General features: G+C 50.5%; 1 protein-coding gene across 2 annotated transcripts in view; it reads right to left on the minus strand.

Moving 5' to 3' along the window:
- Positions 1–24,139, minus strand: part of TTLL1 (TTL family tubulin polyglutamylase complex subunit L1) — a 49,876-nt gene that overhangs the window by 14,183 nt on the left and 11,554 nt on the right. The window contains exons 3-9 of one of the 2 annotated variants that reach the window (NR_027779.2): positions 21,776–21,892; positions 16,473–16,544; positions 15,906–16,146; positions 14,712–14,892; positions 10,492–10,626; positions 10,115–10,223; positions 5,686–5,829 (exon numbers count right to left, since the gene is read on the minus strand). Coding sequence is in view for 1 of the 2 variants with exons in the window: in NM_012263.5 (NP_036395.1) it covers positions 5,686–5,829; positions 10,115–10,223; positions 10,492–10,626; positions 14,712–14,892; positions 15,938–16,146; positions 21,776–21,888 (891 nt within the window). In the remaining variant the exon portion in view is untranslated. The remainder of the gene's footprint in view (positions 1–5,685; positions 5,830–10,114; positions 10,224–10,491; positions 10,627–14,711; positions 14,893–15,905; positions 16,147–16,472; positions 16,545–21,775; positions 21,893–24,139) is intronic. The other variant, NM_012263.5, reaches the window with a different exon arrangement.

The raw sequence follows: 24,139 nt of genomic DNA on the forward strand, positions 1-24,139 counted from the left end.
ATATTTGCTAAGTGAATAAAAACTGAATAAATAAATTCCTGCTCCCAAAGCCTCACAGAGCCTTAGAAATCTATCATAACAGCTTTTCAGTTCAGGAAACTGAGGCCCAGAAGGAGTCGTTCAGAGGCACCTGCCAGAGGGCCAGGCTGAAAGAATACAGGTTTCCTTGATTAAACAGCTAACTTTTTCTCAAAGATCTACCAAAATGGGCTGGGGAGGGAGGGAGAGCAAAGGGCTGCTTAATCCGGCATTAGAATTCACACAGTCACGTGTCAACCGATGAGCGGTATTTAACCCTTCCCAATCATGAAGTCAGTCTCTGCAGAGCACTGTTCACACATACGCCGTGACACTGGTGTCAGGGTCCCAGTTTCACAGATGAGGCATCTGAGGCCCAGCAAGAGTGGGCTCTTGAGCAAAGTCCCCTGTCGGGATATGGTGGGGCCTGGCATGGAATCAGATCTGAACTCCACACTCGTTACCTGCCACCCAAGCTGCAACCCAAGCCACCAAGGTATAAGGAGCTTCAGTGGGACAAGAGATGGGGCACTCGGCCCCTAAGATGTATCTCCAGCAGTGAACTAGGTCCCGGGTTTTTTCTGTCGAATCCTCTGTGAGCCAAAGACACAAAACGAACCCACACACTGTGCTCACGCACCACTTTGAAAGCAGGAAGAGCTTCACTTAAAGTGCAGAAAGTCAAGGCACCAACCCGACATAATCTCTTTTTTTTTTTTTTTTTTGAGATGGAGTTTTGCTCTTGTTGCCCAGGCTGGAGTACAATGGCACGGTCTCGGCTGACTGCAAATTCCACCTCCCAGGTTCAAGCGATTCTCTTGCTTCAGCCTCCCAAATAGCTGGGATCACAGGCATGCGCCACCACACCCAGCTAATTTTGTATTTTTAGTAGAGATAGGATTTCACCATGTTGGCCAGGCTGGTCTCGAACTCCTGACCTCAGGTGATCCACCCACCTCGCCCTCCCAAAGTACTGGGATTACAAGCATGAGCCACTGCACCTGGCCTTTTTTTTTTTTTTTTTTTTGAGACGGAGTCTTGCTCTGTGGCCCAGGCTGGAGTGCAGTGGCGCAATCTCGGCTCACTGCAAGCTCCGCCTCCCGGGTTCACGCCATTCTCCTGCCTCAGCCTCCCGAGTAGCTGGGACTACAGGCACTGCCACTACGCCTGGCTAATTTTTTGTATTTTTAGTAGAGATGGGGTTTCACCATGTTAGCCAGGATGGTCTTGATCTTCTGACCTTGTGATCCGCCCGCCTAGGCCTCCCAAAGTGCTGGGATTACAGGTGTGAGCCACCGCACCCAGCCCCTTCTTTTTGTTTTTTGAGACAGAATCTTAACTCTGTCACCCAGGCTGGGGTGCAGTGGTGTGGTCTCCACTCACTGCAACCTCTACCTCCCGGGTTCAAGCGATTCTCCTGCGTCAGCCTCCCGAGTAGCTGGGATTATGGGTGTGTGCCATCACGCCTGGCTAATTTTTGTATTTTTAGTAGAGATGGGGTTTCATCATGTTATCCAGGCTGGTCTTCAACTCCTGGCCTCATGTGATCCGCCCACCTCAGCCTCTCAAAGTGCTGGGATTACAGGCACTGTGCCTGGCCACGTCTGTCTATAGTTTTCTTTCTTTTTTTTTTGAGACAAGGTCTCACTCTGTCGCCCAGGCTGGAGTGCACTGGTGTGATCACAGCTCCCTGTAGCCTCCATCTTCCAGGCTCAAGTGATTTTCCCAGGTCAGCCTGCCCAGTAGCTGGGACTATAGGCATGCACCACCATGCCTGGCTAATTTTTGTATTTTTTGTAGAGACAGAGTCTCGCATGTTGCCCAGGCTGGTCTCAAATTCCTGGGCTCAAGCAATCTGCCCACCTTGACCTCCCAAAGGGCTGGGACAACAGGTGTGCACCAACACATTCGGCTAATTAAAAATAATTTTTTTTTTTTGTAGAGACAGCATCTTGCTATGTGGTCCAGGCTGGTCTTGAACTCCTGGCCTCAAGCAATCCTCCTGTCTCAGTCTCCCAAAGGGCTGAGATTACAAGCATGAGCCACCACGCCCAGCCTCTTAATTTTCGTGGTTGTTTCACTGAAGCCTTTCACTTCAAAGAGGCTCAATATAAGCCTCTTTGGTTATGTTTAAAGGTAAAAGTAGAAGACAAGGCCTTAATTTTCCACAGAGAATGTTTCTTTTTTTGTCTTTTTTTTTCCCTTTTTGTGGAGAAGGAGGTCTCGCTATATTGCCCAGGCAGGTCTCGAATTCCTGGGTTCAAGCTATCCTCCTGCCTCTGCCTCCCTAAGAGCTGGGATTACAGGCGTGAGCCACCATACCTGGCCTCCACAGAGACTGTTTTCTATAAATATGTTCATACAGCCAGGCACAGTGGCTCCTGCCTGTAATCCCAGCACTTTGGGAGTCCGAGGCAGGTGGATCACGAGGTCAAGAGATGGAGACCATCCTAGCCAACATGGTGAAACCTGTCTCTACTAAAAATACAAAAATTAGCTGGGCGTGGTGGCGCGCACTTGTAGTCCCAGCTACTCAGGAGGCTGAGACAAGAGAATTGCTTGAACCTGGGAGGCGGAGGTTGCAGTGAGCCGAGATCGCATCACTGCACTCCAGCCTGGCGACACAGCGAGACTCTGTCTCAAAAAAAAAAAATTGAAAAAAAAAAAAATGTTCACACATCAACCTTGATGCCATCACACTTTCTCCAGAACAGCAGTTTCACACATTTCCATCTTTCTTCTTGTCTTTTTTTTTTTTTTTTTTTTTTTTAAAGAGACAGGGCTGGCCGGGTGCAGTAGCTCACGCCTGTAATCCCAGCACTTTTGGGAGGTCCAGGTGCGTGGATCACCTCAGGTCAGGAGTTCGAGACTAGCCTGGGCAACATGGCGAAACCCTGTCTCTACTTAAAAATACAAAAATTAGCCAGGTATGGTGACGCGCACCTGTAGTCCCAGCTACTTGGGAGGCTGAAGCAAGAGAATCTCTTGAACCCGGGAGGTGGAGGTTGCTAGGAGCCAAGATCGCGCCACTGCACTCCAGCCTGGGTGACAGAGAGAGACTCCATCTCAAAAACAAAACAAAACAAAAACATTAAAGAGACAGGGCCTCATGGTCACCCAGACTGGAGTGCATTGGCGTGATCGTGGCTCACTGTACCCTCAAACTCCTGGACTCAAGCAATCCTCCCACCTCACCCTTCTGACTAGCTGGGATCACAAGTATGTGCCACCACGCCCGGCTAATTTATTTTTTATTTTTAGAAGCAAGGTCTTGGCCAGGCGCGGTGGCTCACATCTGTAATCCCAGCACTTTGGGAGGCTGAGGTGGGTGGATCACAAGTTCAGGAGATCCAGACCAGCCTGGCCAACATGGTGAAACTCTGTCAGTACTAAAAATACAAAAATTAGTTGGACATTGTGGCGCAAGCCTGTAATCCCAGCTACTTGGGAGGCTGAGGCAGGAGAATTGTTTGAACCAGGGATCGGAGGCTGCAGTGGGCTGAGATTGTGCCACTGCACTCCAGCCTGGTCGACAGAATGAGACTCCGTCTCAAATTAAATTAAAAAAAAAAAAAAAAAAAAAGCAGGGTCTTACTTTGTTACCCTCAAGTCCCAAACTTTTGGGCTTAAGTGATCCTCCACCTCGGCGTCTCAAAGTGCTGGGATTACAGGCGTGAGCCACTGTGCCCGGCCAATTTCATACATTTCTGACTGTGGAGGGAAGCTCTTTCTCACAGCCTCTTGACACCAATGTGGGGGACACATACCACAGCTGGCCATGGTTACTTTTGCTCTTTGACATGGTGGTGATTCTTTGAGCTTTGGGAGTTTTGTAAAGCACCTTTGTTAAAAGAATGGGAAGTATCCCACCACACACACACTCCACGGTGATGTGGCACCCACTCTCTGGGCCCACATCTGAGTAGGTGGGTCTCTCAGGGGCCACCTCAAAAAGTAAAAGAACAGACCATACTTGCCCTCAGAGAAAAAAACAAAAGACCACGAAACTGACAGGAGAGACTGGGCTCCTGGAGTGGGCAGGGGAGGGTGGGAGGGTTGCTTTCCTGCCCCTCCCTCATAGGTGAGATGGGAAGATTTCATGGGCTTTGGGCCAGAAACCTGTTCTACTTCCCAGCTCCGGGGCCTGGGCCTCCGTTTTCCCAGGAGTCATATGCGAGTAACAAAACACCCCAAGACACCCACTGGGGAAGCACTGGAAATATATATATATATATATTTTTTTTTTTCTAGACAGTCTCACTCTGTCGCCAGGCTGGAGTGCAGTGGTACGATCTCGGCTCACTGCAAGCTCTGCCTCCCAGGTTCACACCATTCTCCTGCCTCAGCCTCCCGAGTAGCTGGGACTACAGGCGCCCACTACCACGCCCGGCAAATTTTTTTGTAGTTGTAGTAGAGACGGGGTTTCACCCTGTTAGCCAGGATGGTCTCGATCTCCTGACCTCGTGATCTGCGCACCTTGGCCTCCCAAAGTGCTGGGATTACAGGTGTGAGCCACAGCGCCCGGCCCCGGAAATATTAATAGTAGCAAGCTTGCTGGTGCTCATATGTTCATTTCTCTCTTTTCCCTTAAAAACAGATGTGCACCTGCTTTAACACGGTAAAACAAAACACGAATGCCAACTGAAAACCAGCAAACAAACATAAAATGTGAAGATAAAAAAAGAGGCACGCCATTTCCAGCCCGAAATATCTATGAAATACTAAAGTCAGGACATCACAGACAAGACGCTGCTGGAAGTCCATCTCCAATATATCAGTTTATGCCAAAATAGTTATTATTGACTTAGTGGGTATAAGAGGAGTGGAGGGGCCAGGGCCTGTGGCTACACCTGAGAGGCTAGCCCGGCTCACCCCGGGATGGCACTGGGCTGCAAGCTAGCCCCTTTCCCTTTCCGAAAAGACTGCAGCCTCTGGCAGATGTGCAGGCGGCAAGAAAGTGAAAACAGGTTTTTTTTTGTTTTTTTTTTTGTTTTTGAGACAGAGTTTCGCTCCTGTTGCCCAGGCTGGAGTGCAATGGCGCGATCGCGGCTCACTGCAACCTCTGCCTCCTGGGTTCAAGCAATTCTCCTGCCTCAGCCTCCCAAGTAGCTGAGATTACAGGTGCACACCACCACACCCCGCTAATTTTTTGTATGTTTCGTAGAGACAGGGTTTCACCGTGTCCAGGCTGGTCTTGAACTTCTGACCTCAGGTGATCCGCCTGCCTCGCCCTCCCAGCGTGCTGGGATTACAGGCGTTAACCAACGCGCCCAGCCTGTTTTTTGTTTTTTGAGACAGAGTCTTGCTCTGTCACCCAGGCTGGAGTGCAGTGGTGTGACCTCCGCTCACTGCAACCTCTGCCTCCCGGGTTCAAGTGATTCTCCTGCCTCAGCCTCCCCAGTAGCTGGGATTACACGTGCATGCCACCATGCCCGGCTAATTTTTGTATTTTTAGTAGAAACAGGGTTTCACCATGTATGTGGGCCAGGCTAGTCTCAAACTTCTGACCTCAGGTGATCCGCCCGCCTCGGCCTCCCAGCTTGCTGGGATTACAGGCGTGAGCCGCCGCGCACAGCTGAAAACAGGGATTTTTAACAGAAAGACAGCAAGCCCCCCCACTCCCAAACGGGCCCTGGGAGCCGGCTCCCCCGCCCGCACCAAACTCACCGCCACAGCCTTCAGGGACTGCACGATGATCCAGTGGATCTCGTCGAACAGCTTGCTGGTCACCTCCTTGCCGCGGGTGCTCTCCAGGTAGAGCCGCAGGTTACTCACTGTCCACTTGCCCCCATGGATGTGGTTGTAGTCCTCCTGGTGACGGGAAAGCGGGCAGGCATCCCTCAGGCTATGCACCCCAGAGGAACCCAGCGGAACCGTTGCATCCCCCAAGCATTTCTGGAGTGCCCCCTGGGTGTGGGCATCCAGCAACAAGGCAAACATCCAGACCCCTGCCCCAGGGAGATCTGGGCCGGCTATTTTCCGTTTTGTTTTAAGACAGGGTCTCACTCTGTCCCCCAAGCTGGAGTGCGGTGGCATTACTTTGGTGCACTGCAACCTTGACCTCTTGAGCTCAAGCAATCCTCCCACCTCAGCCTCTCAAGTAACTGGGACTACAGGCATGTGCCACTATGCCTGGCTAATTTTTAAATTTTTTGTAGAGAAGAGGTCTCACTATGTTGCCCAGACTGGTCTTGAACTCCTGGCCTCAAGGGATCCTCCTGCCTTGGCCTCCCAAAGTGTTGGGATTACAGGCATGAGCCACTGTGCCCGGCCACCTGGGCCTCCTATTAATGTGGGGTTTTTCTGTTTTTATTTTTGTTTTTTGAGACAGAGTCTCACTCTGTCACCCAGGCTGGAGTGCAATGGCACGATCTCGGCTTACTGCACTGTGAGCCACCGCGCTTGGCCTTCCGTGGGTATTTTAAAATGCTCATCTCCCTAATACTCTCAGGCTTAATCATTTATGCCTCACAGCACAGGCTGTGGAGTGCTGCCGGGATACCCTTCAAGACCAAGGCACTCATTCTTCTAGCTGAGACCCACCCTCACTGAGAGTGCCCTTGGCTTGAGGGAGCTGCCTAATCCAGGGTGAAAGCCCTCCCCAAGGCAACAGCATACCATGTCTGGCTGATGCCAGGTGTCAGCCCCTGCTCCCTCCAGGACAGCTCTGCAGGGCCACCCCTGCTCCACAGCGCCCCACGGTGGGCAGAGGCCTCCACTGCAGCAACATCAGCTTGCCGACTTCTACCTCAGAGTCTTTCCTGGGGAAGCCAACCTAAGACACTGGGCTCACACTGCAGTTTAAAAGCACCACACTCATCACTCTCTAACAACCTTGAGAAGACGCCATTATCATCCCATTTCACAGGGGACGCCGGGCTCAGAGAAGCTGTTACTTGGCCAAGCTTTCCTCCTGGGCTGGGATGGGGCTGGGCCTCCAGCCCAAATGTTCTGATGCCACTTCTGAGCTCTTCCTGTTTTGCCACCCCTGAAAATTAATTCTCCATACAATGCTTATCTTTGAAGGCAAAGAGCTAGAAAATACCCAAATGTATTACATTGTTAGGAGACTACATTTCATTTTCTAAGTATAAAGTGAGAACCATGAACTAAAACAAAACCAGCCTACTAACTCTTCGAGCAAACACCACTGACTCAAAGCAGATAAAAGGAGAATTAACCATATTTTAAAAGAAAGTCCAGGCGCGGTGGCTCACGCCTGTAATCCCAGCACTTTGGGAAGCTGGGGTGAGAGGATCACCTGAGGTCAGGAGTTCGAGACCAGCCTGGCCAACATGGTGAAACCTCGTCTCTACTAAAAACCCCAGCCAGGTGTGGTGGCGTGCACCTGTAACCCCAGTTACTCGGGGGGCTGAGGCAGAAGAATCGCTTGAACCCGGAAGGCAGAGGTTGCAGTGAGCCGAGATCCTGCCACTGTACTCCAGCGTGGGTGACAGAGCAAGACTCTGTCTAAAAAAACTAATAATCATAAATACATAAATAAAAAATAAAATTTGTAAAACTGATGCTTGCTTGGTTTACTCTGAGGAAGACCTGAAGGGGAAGCGAGTTAGGCCAGCCACATGTGGAAGCCACTTGGCCCCGGTAAGCAGTGGCCATCGTCATCCCAAGACCAGCAAGGTGAACCCCTGGCTCCTGTTGGCAGCTGTGGGGCCCAGAGGGCTGGTGAGCTGCCCAAGTCACACAGAGGTAAGTGATGGGCAGAGGACCGAGTCCAGCCTCGTCTGACCAAACTCTTCAGCAGGTTCTTCAGAAATGCATATTTCATACCAATACTCACTCTCTTTCTCCTCAAATCAGAAAACAGACCAGAGCATTCAAGGCTTCCATCCAAAGAAGATTCAAATCAAAGAAGGAGTCTTTCATAAAGAAACGAGACCTTTGGTTTATGTTGGGGTGAAATTAGAGCCCCTAACCTGAACTGGGTCCACAAAGCCCTGTGTGTCTGCCCTTGCTGGCCTCTCCAGTCCCTCCCCATCCACTGCCCTCACGCCAGGGGCTCCTGCTACCCTGGCGTCCTTTCAGCCCCTGTAATGCTCCCTCTGGCAACAGGGCCTCGGCACACGTTGTACCTACTACTATGGAACCTTCTCCACCCTCTCTGGATTATCCCTACTCATGCTTCAGATCTCGGCTCCAGCACCGCTTTGCAGGGAAGCCTTCTCCAACCACTGGATAAGGGGCTTCTTTTGTTCCATGATCTTCTAGATGTGTGTTCCTCACTTTCAGAGCAAGCAGCTCAGTTTGTAATTTCATGTTCATCAGGGTGATTATTTGATGACTATCTCCCCTGGAAGCTCTGGGATCTGTGAGAGTAGGTACTAAGGTAGGCTTTGCCTATCACTGTGTCCTGGGCACTCAGAAGGGGACCAACTCACATAGGTACTCAATGGGTACAGATGGGGCCTCCGATGGGGCTATGTCCAGATAAACCCATAGCAAGTTGAAAATATTGTAAGTTGAAAGTAGATTTGGCCGGGCGCAGTAGCTCACACCTCTAATCCCAGCACTTTGGGAGGCCGAGGAGGGTGGATCACGAGGTCAAGAGATCAAGACCATTCTGGCCAACATGGGGAAATCCCATCTCTACTAAAAATACAAAAATTAGCTGGGCGTGGTGGCGCACGCCTGTGATCCCAGCTACTCAGGAGGCTGAGGCAGGAGAATCGCTTGAACCTGGGAGGCGGAGGTTGCAGTGAGCTGAGATCACGGCACTGCACTCCAGCCTGGCAACAGAGCAAGACTCTGTCTCTTAAAAAAAAAAAAGAAAAGAAAAGAAAAAAGAAAAAAAAAGAAACTGCATTATTTAACGCCAGGCGCAGTGGCACACGCCTGTAATCCCAGCACTTTGGGAGGTTGAGGTGGGCGGATCACTTGAGAAAATGAGTTCGAGACCAGCCTGGCCAACATGGTGAAACCCCATCTCTACTAAAATACAAAAATTAGCCAGGCATGGTGACACATGCTTGTAGTCTCAGCTCCTCAGGAGGCTGAGGCAGGAGAATCACTTGAACCTGGGAGACAGGTTGTGGTGAGCTGAGATCATGCCACTGCACTCTAGCCGGGGCAACAGAGCGAGACTCCGCCTCAAAAAGAAAAAAAAAGTGCGTTTTCTATACCTAACCTACTGAATATCATAGCCTTGCCTATCTAAGACATGCTTAGAACACTTACAATAGCCTGAAGTTGGGCAAAATCATCTAAGGCAAAGCCTATTTTATAATAAAGCGTGAAATACCTCACATAATTTATTGACTACTGTACTCAAAGTAAAAAACCAAACGGTTGCATGTGTACTTGAAGTACGGTTCCTACTGAATGCATGTCACTTTCATACCACTGGAAGCTTGAAAAATTGTAAGTTGAGGCAGGGTACCTCAGGGATGGTCTAAGCAGAAGTCACCTCATGACATCCTCCCACAGTCCCGCCAGGTAATACTATGATCTCCTTTTATAAATGGAGAAACCGAGGCTCTGAGAGTTACACTGACTTGCCCGAGGCCACAGAACTAGAAAGGCAGGGCTTGAGCCTGCTGCCTTCTTTCTCCAGGTGCCCCCACCCAGCCACGGCATTCAGCTGATGTGTCCTAGGCCAGCCCGCCTGATGCCTAGAGCCTCCCAGTCCCATCAGTGCCGGACCTTAGACCAGGATACTCTTTGAGTATCACTTCTATACCCACCCTGTTCTTGCAAAAATAGAAGAAAGAAACCCACAAAGTCGGTCCTTTTTTTTTTTTTTTTCTTTTGAGACAGAGTCTCGCTCAGTTGTCCAGGCTGGAGTGCAATGGTGCAATCTCGGCTCACTGCAACCTTTGCCTTCTGGTTCAAGCGATTCTCCTGCCTCAGCCTCCCGAGTAGCTAGAATTACAGGCGCCAGCCACCATGGTAATTTCCGTATTTTTTTTTTTAGTAGAGACAGGGTTTCATTGTGTTCGTCAGGCTGGTCTCGAACTCCTGACCTCAGGTGATCCACCCGCCTCAGCCTCCCAAAGTGCCGGGATTACAGGCGTGAGCCACCACACCCGGCCTGAAAGTCAGTCCATTTCTGTAAGCACAAATGAAAGGACACACTCACCCCGTGTTTCTGGATGGCGACGTTGGTGAGATGAACGAACATGTTGTCCAGCTCACTGGTACTCGGGGTGTATTTCACTGTGCAGAACCGGCAAAACCCAAGCTTGTACCTAGGAGGGAATGTAGATTAATTCAAACTCTGAGGAGAAACAAAAAGAAAAGACACCACTTCATTCTCTAAAAAGAGCTGCTTTTGTGTGTGTGATTTACACGACTCACATCGGCATCGGGCCTGACTGCTCTTACTTCCCTCAATCCCTGCCCCGTGCCAGGCACCGCACATGCACTGTTTTATGAAACCTCACAATGGTGCTAAGAAGAAAGACGTTTTGGGTGAAAACACAATCAAGAGGGAACCAAAACCTTAGGGACGCTTACATGTAACAGCGCAGTGGACGGTACGTGGACACCAGAACGTACAAGCGCAGGTCGAACTTCCTCCCGCCAATTAGTAACGGGTTGTTAATATAGAGAGAGATCACGTAGGCTTCCTTATTAGATTGAGACACAAACCTAAACATGGCAGAGAAAGTAAAAATTAGATGGTAAAAGATGCAATAACGAAGACACAATCCAAGAAAGGAATAACTGATAAGCCGGACTTCATTAAAATTAAAAAATTAAAGAGTTTTGGCTGGGCGCGGTGGCTCACGCCTGTAATCCCAGCACTTTGGGAGGCGAGGCGGGTGGATCACTTCAGGTCGGGAGTTCAAGACGAGCCTGGTCAACACGGTGAAACCCCGTCTCTGCTAAAAAGAAAAAAAATTAGCCCGGTGTGGTGGTGTGTGCCTGTAGTCCCAGATACTCAGGAGGCTGTGGCAGGAGAATCACTTGAACCCAAGAGGTGGAGGTTGCAGTGAGCTGAGATGGCACCACTGCACTCCAGCCTGGGTGACAGAGCAAGACTCCATCTCAAATAAATAAATAAGTAAATAAATAAATAAAGACAGTAAAAAGATCTGTGGTTGCCACAGACTAGGGATAAACAGGCAGAGCACAGAGGATTTTGAGGGCAGTGAAACTACTCCGTATGTTACTATGATGGTGGATCTGGACGAGCTTGGTGGCTCACGCCTGTAATCCCAGCACTTTGGGAGGCCGAGGCGGGTGGATCACCTGAGGTCAGGAGTTCGAGACCAGCCTGGCCAACATGGTGAAACCCTGTCTCTACTAAAAATACAAAAATAGCCAGGCATGGGGGCGGGTGCCTGTAATTCCAGCTACTCCAGAGGCTGAGGCAGGATAATCGCTTGAACCCGGGAGGCAGAGTTTGCAGTGAACCAAGATCCTGCCACCGCACTCCAGCCTGGGCAATAGAGCAAGACTCCATCTCAAAAAATAAATAAATAAAATAATGGTGGATCCATGTCACTATACATTTGTCTAAGCTCCCAAAATGGACAACACTAAGAGTAAACCCTAATGTGAACTATGGCCTTTGGGTGATGATGGGCTGGTGTCAGTCTGCCAATTTTTATTTATATATATATATTTTTGAGACACAGTCTTCCTCTGTCACCCAGGCTGGAGTGCACTGGCGTGATCTTGGCTCACTGCAACCTCCACCTCCTGGGTTAAAATGATTCTCCTGCCTCAGCCTCCTGAGTAGCTGGGATTACAGACGCCAGCCACCATGCCTGGCTAATTTTTGTATTTTTAGTAGAGACAGGATTTTGCCATGTCGGCCAGGCTAGTCTCAAACTCCTGACCTCAAGTGATCCGCCTGCCTTGGCCTCCCAAAGTGCTGGGATTACAGGCTTGTGCCACACACATGGCCAAATTTTTTTTTTTGAGATGGTCTTGCTGTGTTGCCCAGGCTGGAGTGCAGTGGTGCGATCACAGCTCACTGCAGTCTCCTGGGCTCAAGTGATAGTCTCACCTCAGCCTGGCAAGTAGCTGAGACTACAGGCATGTGCCACGACACCCAGCTAATCAGTTTGCTAACTTTAACAATTCTGGTAGGGGATGCTGATAAGGGGGGAGGCCGTGCATGTGTGGGGAAGGGGTATAGGAAAAAAAAAATCTCTGTATCTTCTTCAATTGTGCAGTAAACCTAAAACTGCTCTAAAAAAATCAAGCTACTGGAGGCCTGTAATCCCAGCACTTTGGGAAGCCGAGGCAGGAGGATCACGAGGTCAGGAGTTCAAGACCAGCCTAACCAACATGGTGAAACCCTGTCTCTACTAAAAATACAAAAATTAGCCAGGTGTGGTGGCGGGTGCCTGTAGTCCCAGCTACTCAGGAGGCTGAGGCAGGAGAATCGCTTGAACCTGGGACGTGGAGGTTGCAGTGAGCTGAGATCGCACCACTGCAGTCCAGCCTGGGAGACAGAGCGAGACACTGTCTCAAAAAAAAAAAAAATTAAAAAAAAAATCAAGCTACTAGAAAAAAAATGGATGGTAAAGACCAAAGGTGCATCTCGTCAGCTGGCAACACGCTCCCGGCCTCTCACTGTGAGGGGCTGGGTCATCAGGAAGGAAATGGGGGTGGGGTGTATCCATGGAGGACACACCCCCTGCCCCAGGGGACAGTGCAAGCAGCTGCAGGACAGTCCCCAGGAGTCCACTCAGGGAAATGCTCCTCGGGCCTGGCCATCTGGGGGCTAGCAAAGTGTAATTAGATTTAAGCATGGCCGGGCATGGTGGCTGACACCTGTAGTCCCAGCACTTTGGGAGGCTGAGGCAGGCAGATCACTTGAGCCCGGGAATTTGAGATCAACCTGGGCAACATGATGAAACCCTGCCTCTACAAAAAAGAAAAATTAGCCAGGTGTGGTCGTGTGTACCTATAGTCTCAGCTACTCAGGAGGCTGAGGTGGGAGGATCGCTTGGGCCTAGGAGGTTGAGGTTGCAGTGAGCCATGATCCCGTCTTAAAAAAAAAAAAATTTTTTTTTAGGCCACACACAGTGGCTCACCCCCTGTAATACTAGCACTTTGGGAGGCCAAGGTGGGTGGATCACTTGAGGTCAAGAGTTAGAGACCAGCCTGGCCAACATGGTAAAACCCCATCTCTACTAAAAATAAAAAAATTAGCCAGGCATGGTGGGTGCCTGTGATCCCAGCTACTTGGGAGGCTGAGGTAGGCAGATCGCTTGAACCTGGGAGGCGTGAGGTTGCAGTGAGCTGAGATTGTACCACTGTACTCCAGCCTGGGCAACAGAGTGAGACTCCATCTCAAAAGAAAAAAAAAAAAGTAAACATGCTATAAAATGAGAAGGTGTCTCCTGTCACCCTGGGAACTCCTGACAAGTGAGTCATCTCCCCACTGGAAAAGGATCAGACAGAAGCTTTGCCCCGGTGGGCCCCGGGCACTTCTGAGCAGCTGAGAAAAAACAAAGACAGAGAAGCCAGCAGACCCAGGCCCCTGGGCTTGCCACGAGGCCACTGCCCCACCACTTGCTCGGCTGTGCCCATCGGCTGTGCCCGGCTCCTCCCAGATGCTTCATATTTCACATGTGTTAACTCGTTCCATCCCCATCACAACCCCATGGCAGTGGTGCTGCTGGTGTCCCCGGTTTACTCAGATGGAGAATGTAAGACATGGAGAGTCTGAAGAACAAAATACGCTCAGCCACTTCGTGTGAGACTGGGCTTCAAACCCAGGACCCTAGGGCCACGAGTCCCAGGACTTTGGCAGGTGCCTCGCTGCCTCAGAACCACCACGACTGAGCGGTTCTCACACCAGCCTGTAATCAAAAAGTGGCTGCAGGCCCTGGCCCATGACCTACACCCTTCTTCATGGCCTGCCTTGGGCAGAGTCTGGGACTAATCACACGAAGACAACCACAGAACCCCACCGTGACGCCACGTGACAGATGACGCACGCCTGTAAAAGCAAGCATGGGCTGTGTGGCTCATGGCCAAAGACCACAGAACAGGCCAGGAACAGTGAATCACGCCTGTAATCCCAGCACTTTGGGAGGCCGAGGTGGGTGGATCACCCTGAGGTCAGGAGTTTGAGACCAGCCTGGCTAACAGGGCAAAACCCCACCTCTCTCTCTTTCTTTTTTTTAGACAGAATCTCACTCTGTCACCCAGGCTGGAGTGCATGGCGCGATCTCAGCTCACTGCAACCTCTGCCTTCTGGGTTCAAGCGATTCTCCTGCCTCAGCCTCCTGAGTAGATGGGATTACAGGCACCTGCCACCTCACCTGGCTAATTTTTTTTTTTTTTTTTGTATTTTTAGTAGAGATGGAGTTTCGCCATCTTGGCCAGGCTGGTCTTGATCTCCTGACCTCATGATCCACCCACCTCGGCCTCCCAAAGGGCTGAGATTACAGGCATGAGCCACCATGCCCAGCCGCAAAACCCCATCTCTATTTAAAAAAAAAAAACTCTATTAAAAAAATACAAAAATTAGCTGGGCGTGGTGACGCATGCCTGTAATCCCAACTACTCGGGAGGCTGAAGCAGGAGAATCGCTTGAACCCAGAAGGCGGAGGTTGCAGTGAGCTGAGATTGTGCCACTGTAATCCTGCCTGGGCGACAGAGTGAGACTCTGTCAAAAAAAAACCAAACAAAAACCCACAAAGACTGCGAACAGCATAAAACGGTGAACTGGGACCTGGCACACAAAGTGGGTGGCTGCCCACACTTACGAAGATGTCTTGCTGTCCCGGGACCACTTTTTGATCTGTGAGAGCTTGTTGATAAGGAAGATGCCCTTTCCCTGGGCCTTGCCACAAGGCTTCATGATCCAGGTGCTGGACGGGCTCTTCCGGAACTCCTCTACAAACAGGTTGTAGTCAGCGGGCAGCATATAGGTGACTGGAACAAAGTCTGCAAGGCAAAGACACCCAGCACTGGTAAGCAGCCAGCCCAACAGTGGCCATGAACAGAAAGATCTTGCCCTTGCCTTTCCAGGGCCTGTGGGCTGAGTGTCCCCCACCGCAACCCAGCAGCTAACAGAACAAGGGCCTCTGCTGCACAATCCCTGGGCAACACTCACAAGTTACATTTATAGAGCCTACCTAAGCACCTTACAAACCTGTATTTTTCAATCCCCACGGCCACCTGGGAGCTACTGTAAACCCTGTAATAATTCCCATTTAGCAGACGAGGAAACTGAGGCCCAGGGAGATCAGATAGAGAATTCTACCCAGGTTTGTGAAGAAATCTGAAACTATTCAGTCCAGCTTTTATCCCGGACTTGGACAGGGACACACTGTCTTCCCTGGGTATAGCCAGACACAGTCATGAGCCCTCGTGGCAGCCTGTGGCTCAAGAAGTATTTCCCCAGGCTGAGCGCTGAGGGCATCCTCTGGCTTACACAAAGTCCATGCTGGCTGGGTGTGGTGGCTCACGTCTATAATCCCAGCACTTTGGGAGGCAGAAGCGGGTGGATCACAAGGTCAGGAGTTCGAGACCAGCCTGGCCAATATGGTGAAATCCCATCTCTACTAAAAATACAAAAAAAAAAAAAAAAAAAAAATTAGTCGGGCATGGTAGAGGGCACCAGTAGTCCCAGCTACTTGGGAGGCTGAGGCAGGAGAATTGCTTGAACTCAGGAGGCGGAGGTTGCAGTGAGCTGAGATCGCGCCACTACACTCCAGCCTGGATGACAGAGTGAGATTCTGTCTCAAAAAAAAAAAAAAAAAAACGCCATGCCAGGCAATTCCCAAGGCACTCACAGAAACTAGGATGCCACACTCAGGCCCCTCCTTCTCCCTCATTCTGGAGACACCTGAAATGAAACAGGTGCCACCACAACTCGCATGGACATGCTCACGCATCAAAGCCAACAGTCACCACCTCAGCGCCTCGCGCCCCAAAGAAAAAATTCAGCTGTTTACTGAAAACATGAGCCGGTGGAAGACGCACAAACCCAGATAGAGGTATTTTCCATTTTCATCTTTTTCTGCCAGAGGACTCCCTTCTTTCTCCAGCTCCTTCCTGTATCTTTTGATGTTCTTCACCATCAGGTCCTTCCGGGTCAGTTCATAGTGGTTTGGAAAATGGTTGACTATTTGGTCATCTGAGAGCCGATATCCAGCTTCAACGCTGAACACATTTCGGATGGTTTGCACACTCATCCTGAAAGAGATGAGCAGGAGAGACACTTGGCAGTGATGTCTGTGTGGCAGAAGTCCTTTGTTCCCGTCCCCGCAAACACCCTGAACCCTCAGCACCCTTCACCACTACTCCCACATCCCCTGGCACCTGAGCCAGGGGTTGCCCGGCCCACAGCAGCAGAGAATGGGTGCCCAGGGACAGGCCGGGACCCAAGTGGTGTGAGGGCCAGGAGCTGTGCTGATTCTGAGCTGTTTCCCTCTCTGGCCCGGAGCAGGCACTCAATAGATGTTTATTGATTAGTGATAACACGGATTAATGATAACACTGTCAACAAATAAAAGATATACCCTTTTCAGACTCTGAAGTCAGGAAACTCATTTAAACAGGATCTGTACCGAAATTCAGGAAGGTCAAGGAGCCTTTAAAAACAAAATCACAGGGGTTATTTAAGGGCCCTGAGTCAGTATTTGATATTCTTGGAGAGTCTGCTGAAGGGGCAAGTTGGGGACGACAGAGTTGAAAGAGAAATAGATTCCTTCTGAGCCTCTGAGAAAGCCACGGTCTCCCCGCCACACGCCTGTCCTCACCAACCCCCAGAGAAGCAGGGAAGGGGTACGGAGGAAGGGCTGGCCCCTGCTCAGAGCCAGAGTCACAAAACATGGCAAGTGGCCCCAGCCTCTTGCACTGTGGTCCCTGTGCCCCCAGCCTACCCCCACCCCACAGCACCACCCTAGAGAGGGTGCCCGGAGCCCCCGAAGGGTTGCTGTGGATTCCAGGATGGCTAGAATAAAGGGAATCTTTTTTGACTTTTTATTATGGAAAACCTCCATCACACTCAGAAGGAGAGAGAAAGCGTTAAGGGACCCCCATTGCCCCACTTCACCAGTTAACGGCACGTGGCCAGTCTCGTTTAGTCTGAACCTCCACCCCCCTCAGCACTGGCATGTTCTGAACCAATTCCCAGACATCATATTATTTCATCCAAAGCATTTCTGTAAGATTCTCTAACGGTTCAAGACTCCATGTTTAATTATGTGATATCCTATTTTATATAATTATCAGAACTAAAAAAGCAATATGTATGTATGTATGTATGTATTTATTTTTGAGACAGGGTCTCGCTCTGTTGCCCAGGCCGGGGTGTCATGACTTGATCTCGCCGCACTGCAACCTCTGCCTCCCAGGCTCAAGCAATCCTCCTCTCTCAGCTTCCCAAGTAGCTGGGACTACAGGAAGGGGCCACCGTGTCCTGCTAAATTTTTATAATTTTTTTTGTAGAGATGGGGATTTGCCATGTTGCCCAGGCTGGTCTCAAACTCCTGGATTCAACTGATCCTGCCGCCTCAGCCTCCCAAAGTGCTGCAGTTACAGGTGTGAGCCACCGTGCTTGGCAACGGCAGGAATACTTCTATAGGGACAAGCTTCCCTTCATCAACAATCTAGGTGCCTCAAGAACAGTTCATACACAAAACACAGAATCAGTGCTTGATTCTTTCCCTTTATTTATCAGTTTTTCAAAATAAAGAGCTGGCCGGGCGCAGTGGCTCACGTCTGTAATCCAGCACTTTTGTTTTGTTTTGTTTTGTTTTGTTTATTTGTTTTTGGAGATAGAGTTTTACTCTGTTGCCCAGGCTGGAGTGCAGTGGCACGATCTTGGCTCACTGCAACCTCTGCCTCGCAGGTTCGAGCCATTCTCCTGCCTCAGCCTCCTGAGTAGCTGGGATTACAGACATGAACCACCACACACCGCTAATTGTTATATTTTTAGTAGAGACGGGGTTTTGCCACGTTGGCCAGGCTGGTCTCAAACTCCTGACCTCAGGTGATCTGCCCGACTTGGCTTCCCACAGTGCTAGGATTGCAGGCGTGAGCCACCATGCCGGCCTATAATCCAGCACTTTGGAAGGCTGAGAATTGGGGCAGGGCTCAGCTGAGCAATTCTACTTCTCCTTGTGGCACTGACTGAGGTCATTCAGAAGTGTAGAGCCAGCCGATGGGATGAGCTGGGGGTCCCAGAAGGCTTTCTTCATGTCTAACACCTTGGCAGGCCTAGCTGGAGGCTGGAAGGTGGGCACAGCTGCACTGCCATGTACAACACCTACCTGTGGCCGCTGTGGCACGAGGGCTTCAGGATGGCACCTTCTCACAGGACAGCTCAGGGCACCCACATGTTTCCAACAGAGGAATTGGCCTGGGCCCAGGCATGTATGATTTTTACTGTATTCCACTGGTCAATGTGGTCAAAGAGTCTTTCACGAGGAAAGGACAAAGACCTCAACTTTAGAGTGAAGTAGTGGCAAGAACTTCGCAACCATCTTTATTTTCTTTTTCTTTTTTTTTTTTTTTTTGAGACGGAGTCTTGCTCTGTCGCCCAGGCTGGAGTGTAGTGGCGTGACCTCGGCTCACTGCAATCTCCGCCTCCCGGGTTCACGCCATTCTCCTGTCTCAGCCTCCCGAGTAGCTGGGACTACCGGCACTCGCCACCACGCCCGGATAATTTTTTTGTATTTTTAGTAGAGATGAGGTTTCACTGTGTTAGCCTGGATAGTCTCGATCTCCTGACCTTGTGATCCGCCCATCTCGGCCTCCCAAAGTGCTGGGATTACAGGCGTGAGCCACCGCGCCTGGCCACCATCTTTATTTTCTCTCTTTCTTTCTTTCTTTTAGAGACAAGGTCTCACTCTGTTGCCCAGGCTGGAGTGCAGTAGCACAATCAAGGCTCACTGTAGTCTTGACCTCCTGGGCTCAAGCAAGCCTCCCACCTCAGCCTCTCAAGTAGCTGGGGCTACAGGCACGAACCACTATGCCTGGATAATTTTTGTATTTGTTTGTAGAGATGAGGTTTCACCATTTGCACAGGCTGGTGTCAAACTCCTGGGCTCAAGAGATCTGTCTGCCTCCACCTCCCAAAAGGCTGGGATTACAGGCATGAGTCACTGCACCCAGGCACCCCACCACCCAGCTAATTTTTTTGAGACAGGGTCTCAGTATACTGCCCAGGCTGGTCTCAAACTCCTCGCAAGGTGCTGGGATTACAGGCATGAGCCACTGTGCCCAAGAGTTCTATGCCCTGGCCTGTGGCCATCTTTAATCTGCCACAAATTGGGTATGTGGCTTTTGGGGTATTTTTCTGTTTGCAGTTGTATGAACTTATAAATTCAAATACATATGATAAGTTTCAATTCATTGCAATTATTCTTTTTTTTTTTTTGAGACAGTCTTGCTGTGTCGCCCAGGCTGGAGTGCAGTGGTGCGATCTTAGCTAACTGCAACCTCCGCCTCCTGGGTTCAAGCAATTCTCCCTGCCTCAGCCTCTCAAGTAGCTGGGATTACAGGCGCCTGCCACTAAGCCCAGCTAATTTTTGTATTTTTAGTAGAGACAGGGTTTCACCATGTTGGCCATGGTTGGCCAGGCTGGTCTCAAACTCCTGACCTCAGGTGATCCACCTGCCTGGGCATCCCAAGGTGCTGAGATTATAGGTGTGAGCCACTGCGCCCGGTCTATTTATTTATTTATTTATTTATTTATTTATTTATTTATTTTATTTTTTGAGGTACAGTCTCACTCTGTCACCCAGGCTGGAGTGCAGTGGTGTGATTTCAGCTCACTGCAACCTCTGCCTCCCAGGTTGAGGCCATTTGCCTGCCTCAGCCTCCCGGGCAGCTAGGATTACAGGTGCGCACCACCACACCCAGATAATTTTTGTATTTTTGTAGTGATGGGGTTTCACCAAGTTGGCTAGGCTGGTCTCCAACTCCTGACCTCAGGTGATGCACCCGCCTTGGCCTCCCAAAGTGCTGGGATTACAGGCATGAGCCGCTGTGCCCAGCCCATCATAATTATTTTAACGGCTGCACCATAATCCACTCAAAGTACTTAACCCACCCCCCCATACTGTTTAACATTTAGTTGTTTCCAGTATTTTACCCCAACCAATTTTTCTGTAAACCTGATTGTACATTTAGTGCTTAGAACAGAAGCTCTTCTTTTTTATTTATTTATTTATTTATTTTTTTTGAGACAGAGTCTCACTGTCACCCAGGTTGGAGTGCAGTGGCGCGATCTCAGCTCACTGCAACCTCCACCTCCTGGGTTCAAGCGATTCTCCTGCTTCAATCTCCCGAGTTCCTGGGATTACAGGCAGGCACCACCACACCCAGCTAGTTTTTTTGTATTTTTAGTAGAGACAAGGTTTTGTCATGTTGGTCATGCTGGTCTCCAACTCCTGGCCTCAAGTGATCCACCGGCCTTGGCCTCCCACAGTGCTGGGATTACGGGCATGACGGCCAGAACAAGAGCTCTCAAAATATCAATTAGCTTGGCCAGGCACAGTGGCTCACGCCTGTAATCCTAGCACTTTGGGAGGCCAAGGCGGGCGGATCACCTGAGGTCGGGAGTTCGAGACCAGCCTGACCAACATGGAGAAACCCCCGTCTCTACTAAAAATACAAAATAAGCCAGGCGTGGTGGCACATGCTTGTAATCCCAGCTACTAGGGAGGCTAAGGCAGGAGAATCGCTTGAACCCAGGAGGTGGAGGTTGCAATGAGCCGAGATTGCCCCATGGCACTCCAGTCTGGGTGACAGGAGCGAAATTTCGTCTCAAAAAAAAAAAAAAAAAAAGAAAGAAAGAAAGAAAAAAAAATATATGTATCAATTAGCCAAGACTATTACACTGTTTAGCCTTTTTCTTCATTTCATTCCATTTTTTGCTGTTGTTGAGAATAGCTCCGAAGGCTGGGTACAGTGGCTCACGCCTGTAATCCCAACACTTTGGGAGGCTGAAGTGGGAAGATCACTTGAGTCCAGGAGTTTGAGACCAGCCTGGGCAACATGGGAAGACTCTGCCTCTGAAATAAATAAATAAATAAATAAACAGCAGCTTTATGACCAAAAAAGAAAAAAAGAATAACTCCAAACTGCTTCTTATTCATGGCCGGACATGGTGGCTCATGCCTGTAATCCCAGCACTTTGGGAGGCCGAGATGGGAAGGTCCCTTGAGGCCAGGAATTCAAGACCAGCCTAGGCAACATAGCAAGACCCTGTCTCTACAAAAAAAGAAAAAAATGTGGCCAGGCGCTTGGCTTAGACCTGTAATCCCAGCACTTTGGGAGGCCGAGGCGGGTGGATCACAAAGTTCAAGACCAGCCCGGCCAACATGGTGAAACCCCGTCTCTACTAAAAACACAAAAAAATTAGCCAGGTGTGGTGGCGCCTGTAATCCCAGGTACTTGGGAGCCTAAGGCAGGAGAATCGCTTGAACCCAGGAGGCAGAGATTGCAATGAGCTGAGATCGCACCATTGCACTCCAGCCTGGGTGACAGAGCAAGACTCTGTCCTGTCCTCTGGCCCAGCTATAACGCACGCTCACTGGAAGGGGAGGGCTGAGGCTCTTGTTTCTCACCCAAACTCCCCACAGGGTTGCTGTGCTGAAACACCCCGGACTTCATACCCCAGGGTGAACACAGTGATGTGGGAACACACCACAACACATACTCTCACAAAAAACCTTAAGGAAAAATGTGTGCGGGGAGATGGCACAATGACAGGAGACAGTGGCTCTGAGGCCACTCTCTGGGAGGCACTGGAATTAGTAAAACCGATACGTAAGCCTCAGAGAAACAACCCAGCCCTGCTGTGTATGCTTACCAGTAAAAATTCCAGTCCTCGTTTTCTGTCACTTGGACCCATCCTCTCTTTTCAAAGTTATTGATCAGCACTGACTTCTCGATATCAGTGACCCATTTTACTTTCCCTGCCATAATCCTGGAAGAGATCAAAATATTAGAGATATGAAACTTCAACAGCTCACTTCCCTTTAAACCCAAGGAATCCTCTAAACAGCATGCCCATCCCAAACTCGATCTTACCCCGGCAATGGTTCTCAACCAGGAGTGATTCCATCTCCCAGGGGACACCTGGCAATGTCTAGAGAGTCTGGTTGTCATGACCAGGGGATGCCTCTGGCATCGGGCATGTCCAGGCCAGGGATGCTGCTCGATGTCCGACTGCACAGATGACCCCTCACAACCAATTATCCAGCCCCAAATGTCAACTGTGCCAAGGCTGAGAAACCCTGGTCTGGTGGGAGATAGAGGCAGCCATCAAATCACCACCCGGGAATGTTCAACTGCAAGTGTGCCAGGAGCCACAAAGGAGGGGCACATGGGGCTCTGAGAGCCGCAGACAGGGCAGCTGGGGAGGGCCACCCTGAGAAGGGGACCCTCGGGCCGACTTCCGATGGGTGAGTGGGGATCAGCATGCCTGTCCCACATCCCTCCAGGCACTGCCTGTCTCCCTACTTCAAGTCACCCTCTGTAACTGCAGAGTGACCGTAAGTGTTTATCTGGACTGGGCGTGGTGGCTCATGCCTGTAATCCCAGCACTTTGGGAGGCCGAGGCAGGCGGATCGCCTGAGGTTGGGAGTTCAAGACCAGCGTGGCCAATGTGGTGAAACCCCATCTCTACTAAAAATACAAAAATTAGCCGGGTGTGGTTGTGCGCACCCGTAATCCCAACTACTCGGGAGGTTGAGGCAGGAGAATCGCTTGAACCCGGGAGGCAGAGGTTGTAGTGAGCTGAGATCGCACTACTGCCCTCCAGCCTCGGCGACAGAGCGAGACTCCATCGCAAAAAATAAAAATAGGCCGGGCGCGGTGGCTCACGCCTGTAATCCCAACACTTTGGGCGGCCAAGGTGGGCAGATCATGAGGTCAGGAGATTGAGACCATCCTGGCTAACACGGTGAAACCCTGTCTCTACTAAAAATACAAAAAATTAGCCAGGCATGGTGGCATGCGCCTGTAATCCCAGCTACTCGGGAGGCTGAGGTAGGAGAATCACTTGAACCTGGGAGGTGGAGGTTGCAGTGGGCAGAGATTGCGCCACTGCACCCCAGCTTGGGCGATAGAGCGAGACTCCATCTCAAAATAATAATAATAATAATAAATCAAATAAAATAAAAATAAAATAATTTTTTAACAAGTGTTTATCTGGGCCAGGCATGGTGGCTCACGCCTGTAATCCCAGCACTTTGGGAGGCCGAGGCAGGTGGATCACGAGGTCAGGAGATCGAGACCATCCTGGCTAACACAGTAAAACCCCGTCTCTACTAAAAATACAAAAAATTAGCCGGGTGCGGTGGCAGGCGCCTGTAGTCCCAGCTACTTGGGAGGCTGAGGCAGGAGAATGGTGTGAACCCGGGAGGCGGAGATTGCAGTGAGCGGAGATCGCACCACTGCACTCCAGCCTGGGTGACAGAGTGAGACTCCACCTCAAAAAAAAAAAATTGTTTATCTGACGACATCACTCCCATTTAATAACCTCCATGACTCCCCAGGGCACTTAAACACACAGACCCCTGGCCCTCACCTGCTTCCCCAGGTACACCTCACACCACCTTCTCCTTTACCCTCTGTTCTGCCACGCTGGGCTTCTCTGCCCACTCTCTCTCCTGCCACAGGCCTCGCACACACTGGGCCCCTCCGCCTGCAGCATGCTGCCCTCGATCTCTGCCTGGCTAAGCCGCCTCCCACTCATCTGCCAGCATAAATGAATGTCGCTTGCTCCACAAAGCCTCCCTGACCCTCCAAACAAGGTGCTGTACCCCTCGGCAACCCTGGAGCTCTGTATCAAGCATCTGCTGTCCCTGCTGGGGGCCAGGGAGCTGGCTTGCTTTCTTCTTCACTGCCATGTGCCCAGGGCCCAGCTCCATGCCTGGCACGTGAGGGATGCTCAGTTCAGATGGAGAAACTGGCTGCTGTCCCAGGCCTGTCAGCGCCACTGTGGGACTCGGAGCTATCATAGTTACAGGAGGACTCTGGACCTCGGTCTGCTCTGAAAAGTCTCGTTTTCAAACTGCTCAGGCAGCCCAAGATTCAAGGCTCCCACCCCGGCTCCAACCAGGAAGGCTACAGGAGGCTGCCTCCCCACCCTGGCAACCCCCACACCACAGGCATCTGGCCTGTACAATTCACACGTTGTACTTAAGACAATCTTCTGGCCGGGCGCGGT

The sequence above is a fragment of the Homo sapiens genome, chromosome 22 (genome assembly GCF_000001405.40).
Source record: "Homo sapiens chromosome 22, GRCh38.p14 Primary Assembly".
NCBI classification, from domain to species: Eukaryota; Metazoa; Chordata; class Mammalia; order Primates; family Hominidae; genus Homo; species Homo sapiens.